A 4,806-nucleotide genomic window follows, 5' to 3' on the forward strand; every position below is an offset into this window, starting at 1 on the left:
TAAATACCAGTCTACTATGGTTTGAATGTTTGTGTCTCCTCTGAAATTCATGTTGAAACTTAATCTCCAATGCAACATTATTGAGAGGTGTGATCTTCGGGAGGTGATTAGGTCATGAAGGCCCCATGTTCATAATGGATTAGTTCTCTTATAAAAGGGCTGGAGGGAACTAGTTAGGCCCCTTTTGGCCATCAGCTTTTTGCCATGTGAAGATGCAACAACCAGGCGTCATGTCGGAAGCAGAGAACAGGCCCTCACCAGACACCTTGATCTTGGACTTCTTAGCCTCTAGAACTGTGAAAAATAAGTTTCTATCATAATTTACTCACTCAGGTATTTTGTTATTACAGAACCAAAAGATTGAGACAAGGTCAAAGCCCAAAGACCTGAGAACCAGAGTGTGGGTGTGGAAGGAGTGCTAGTATAGGTCCGGAAGTCTAAAGGTCCAAGAAGCAAGAGCTCTGATGTCTGAAGGCAAGAAAAAAGTAGATGTCCCAGCTCAACAAGAAAGGAAGAATTCACCCTTGCCCCACAATTTTGTTCTATTCAGGTCCTCAGCAGCCTGGATGTTGCACTGGTGAGGGCAGATATTCTTTACTCAGTTTATGGATTCAAATGCTACTTTCTTCTGCAAACACTGGTACAGATGCATGCAGAAATAATTTTTTACCAGCGATCTGGGCATCCCATAGCCCAGTCAAGTTGATCATAAAATTAATTATTACACTATCCAGCACAAGAATATGAGACACATCACCCAAATATACAACCAATATAAGCTCCTTTTTTGGGGGTGGGGGGGTGGGGGATGGAGTCTTGTTCTGTCGCCCAGGCTGGAGTGCAGTGGCGCTGGGGTGATCTCACCTCACTACAACCTCTGCCTCCTGGGTTCAAGTGATTCTCCTGTCTCAGCCTCCTGAGTAGCTAAGATTACAGGCGCCTGCTCCATGCCTGGCCAATTTTTGTATTTTTAGTAGAGGTGGAATTTTGCTATATTGGTCAGGCAGGTCTGGAACTCCTGACCTCAGCTGATCCGCCCACCTCAGCCTCCCGAGATGCTGGGATCACAGGCATGAGCCACTGTGCCCGGCAAATATAAGCTCCTTTTTGATGAAAATTTTACATAGCTTTTATTAATCACTGAAATTGTAATTCTATTTTACTTCTCTCACAGAAATTAATTGTAATGCAAATTTTATTCCTAAAATTTCTTAATGACCACTCAAATATACTCCTCTGCAACAAAAATTACATAAAATAATTGCATTTGTTTTTAAAATTCTTTTAACCAAAAGCTTTAAATGTTGAAACTTTCTGCAAATCGATTCTATAATTATTAATAGATAATGAATCAAAAGCATATATGTAGAGGTTCAAATGTTGATGAACTATTATTAAGCATAAAAAGTAAAATACATCTCAAATGAGATACGTAAGGGCTTTTTCCAATTATTTTAAGATAAGTGATGGATATACTGTTTTATGTAAAATGGGGAAAGACAAGTGTGAAAGAGGAGATAAGAAGAAAAACTTTGGACAAAAAAACTCTCAGGCAAATCATTTGAGAGAGGAACATTATATATAGAAGTTAAAGATCTGGAAATGAATTTCTTTAAGTCTTTCTGTACAAATCACTCCTTGGACAATTTTTACATATTTCAGTTTGAAAATGTCTAGATCTCAAACTTATTGGTCGTGGCACACGATTAAATGAGGCAAAAGACCCTGCAGCCTACACATCTTGCCCTGTCCTAGTGGGGTTGTGGGTTTCTAAGTATGTGCACATATGTAGGCACATTAAGAGCTTACTTGAATTTCTTACTGAACTCTTAAAATAACAATGTTCAGAAAATTTTAATGCCATACTTAATTTGGTATGTAAATACCAAATTTAGAAGTAACATATTTACTGGGAAGTTTCTTTAATCATATAAAAAAATGAATCTTTGGAATTGTATGTCTTTCACTATTAAGAATAAGAAAATGGACTTGCATTTTTGAATTAATCTATGGCTCTGCAGGAGGACATCATCACAGCGAAAAATGATCTGTAGGACAAGCTTTGAAAATTACCAATCTATTATAATCGATGGACTGCATGGTTGCCAAACAATCCTTTGAAATATCACCTTTTTTCCCTTTTAAACAGAGTTAATAATAAGTTTACTCAAAGGTCTGGTCTCTATGTATTTTCCTTTTTCCCTGATCCCTCACTAGTACACTAAAGGCATTCTAAGGCCATACTGAAGCAAAACAATGACTCAAAAAAGGATTTCCTAAGATCCAGAAACTTGCCAACAGAACTTATCTTTTCAGCTCTCATAAACCATGCAAAACTTGGGTTACCATAGACCCTAGAGATAGGCTTTTTGGATTTTAATCCCAGCTCTTCCATTTATTAATTCTGTGTGACTTTATGTAAGTCATTTGTGACTCAATGTCCCTATCTGTAAAATGAGACTTAATTGAATTCATATTTATTTAAAGACAAATGCGTAGACTAGTTCTCAGTACATATTAAGTGGTATGTAAGGGCTTATTTATTTTAAAATACATATATGTTCATATAACACTCTCATCACATTTTATACTTAACAAACCACTCTCACATTAAGTACATTATTCATTATTTTATTTTACAACATAGGAATTTCAAGAAAATACAGCTCATTTACTTGTCTTAAAACAAATAATTATAAACCGACATATTTGAAACTTAAATCCAGATTTTCTAGTTCCATGTTAAGAGATCTTTTTACCAAATGTGTATCTGAATTCACTTTACTAATGGAGTTGTTTTGTTACTTTCAAAGTGATTTTTGTATTTAAAGTTTTAACTTACAGAGCACTTTCAGGTGGGTAAAGCAGACATACTTGAATTGGAAATGTCTAGATCTCAAACTTATTGGCCATGGTACACCTATGCAGGTTTTTCACCATCCTTGTAGGTAATTAGAGATTACACTTGGCTGAGTTTCCCTGGTTCCTAGTCCCACCTAGGTCACTTAAAAAGCCATTATCCAGAAGAAGAAAGATAATTACAAGCAACACCTGGTGATACTTATATATGAAGTAAATGATCTCTTCCACACCTATTTCACTGTCCAGAAATACAATTTTCCAAGTTTCTAGATAAAATTTTTGGTTAATAGAAAACAATATACTCAAAAGCCATATATTCTTTTTCTGCCTCAAGTTTTTTCTAATATAAATTCCAATACAATTTGTCTGGTTGGTAACTATTTTCTCTAACTGTTTGAACTAAATGATTTTGATAGGGACAAGAGGCAGGATAATTCTGGACAGAAGACAACAGATGCCCAGCGAGGGCCCCACCCTCAAGACTGGAACCACGGCCCAAAGTGGAACAAACATTCCTGTTTTCCCTCTTGAATGTTGCCTTATCCAAAATCACCCATGGCCTGCCCTGCCCCCCATCCTGTGCCCATAAAAACCCCAGGCTTCGCTGGCAGAGGGAGGAGAAGAGGAGAAGCAGCTGGACGTCAAAGACTATGGTTGGACATTGGAGAGAAGCAGCTTGACTTGAGAGGGACGGCTTGACGGCAGAGCTTTGAAGAATCCTATGCCGGACTCTGGGGGAAGATTACCTTCTCGCTCCATCACCTTTTCAGCTCCCCTTCCCACTGACAGCCACTTTCATTGGCAATAAAATCCTCTGCATTTACCATCACCAATTTGTTCATGTGACCTCATTCCTCCTGGATGCCCAGTAATTACTCGCGTGCGAGTAGGAAAGGCTGTCACACTGATCCTCCACTGAGCTGTTAACACCTAAGCCATCTGCGGATGGCAAAGCTAAAAGAGCACTGACTGCAACTCTCTTTCTGGGGCTTCGGGGTCATGGGCACCCCCACGAATGCTGCCGAATTTGTTCCTGCCGGTGTCCAAAAGTGCTTGCCCTGGCTCCCGCACCCGCTCACCTGCGTGCTCCCTCCCACTAGGGGTTGAGTGCGGCAGCTTCCAGTGAGTGGAGTTCGCCCTTGCCAGCGCCTGTGCACTCCAGTTCCTGCCCACGAAGGGGTCAGGGAAACAAAATGACTCCTGGTCTAGAAAGATAGGAACCTGTCTTTTAGAATTTTAGTTGCCTTTCTTAATTTCTGCTATGTTAATTTGGAAATTATCTATAAATGATCTCTCCACTTTAACTGGTTGGAATTCAAATGTCTCCCAGCCTTGTGTGAACTTTGGGTTTGCTCAGCTTATACGACCCTGGTAGTTTTTGCCCAGCTTCATGGAGTTCTAACTTCATGCCAAATTTGCTGCGTAGATTAGAATTCAGCAACAAACTCAAGGAGACTTACCGTGTTCTTTCTCTTCTTAGCTGCCTCCTTTCTAATTCACTGCCTCACAAGTCACTTCAGTCTCACTGAACTCTGGTCTCTGCCTCCTCAATATTGTGAGCCTGCTCTGCTCTGCTTGGGTTCTCCTTCTCAGTGCGATGCCTTGTGGCAAAAAGCTTGGGTGATAATAAGGCTGATCTTGTTTGTTTTGCTTCTTTTGGGGATCTAAGTCCGTAAGAGGACTTTGATCCTGTATATCAAAGTCCTGTGTTGCTTGTTGTCTCATGTTTGAAAATAACGGTTTCATATGTTTCTGGTGGGATGGCAAGTCTGGTACTTCTTACTCCACTGTGGTGTCTGTTGAAACAAATAATAAAACTTTGGCTTGTGCTTTGCCTATCTTTTTTTTTTTTTTTTTTTAATTTCATTTTACTATTTGTTCTTATTCTACTTTAAAAATACATCAGTCTGTGAGAGAAGGAAAATAAAAAACTACTTTTAAATA

At 39.1% G+C, this 4,806-nt stretch overlaps 2 annotated features.

The window, feature by feature from the left end:
- Positions 3,481 to 3,982: an enhancer, noted in NCBI's record as "H3K4me1 hESC enhancer chr1:79193777-79194278 (GRCh37/hg19 assembly coordinates)". NCBI's record gives its function as "activates a minimal SCP1, AML or CMV promoter by ChIP-STARR-seq in primed H9 embryonic stem cells {active_cell/tissue: H9 hESC(primed)}" and the evidence as "EXISTENCE:reporter gene assay evidence [ECO:0000049][PMID:30033119]".
- Positions 3,983 to 4,482: an enhancer, noted in NCBI's record as "H3K4me1 hESC enhancer chr1:79194279-79194778 (GRCh37/hg19 assembly coordinates)". NCBI's record gives its function as "activates a minimal SCP1, AML or CMV promoter by ChIP-STARR-seq in primed H9 embryonic stem cells {active_cell/tissue: H9 hESC(primed)}" and the evidence as "EXISTENCE:reporter gene assay evidence [ECO:0000049][PMID:30033119]".

The sequence above is a fragment of the Homo sapiens genome, chromosome 1, assembly GCF_000001405.40.
Source record: "Homo sapiens chromosome 1, GRCh38.p14 Primary Assembly".
Lineage (NCBI taxonomy): Eukaryota > Metazoa > Chordata > Mammalia > Primates > Hominidae > Homo > Homo sapiens.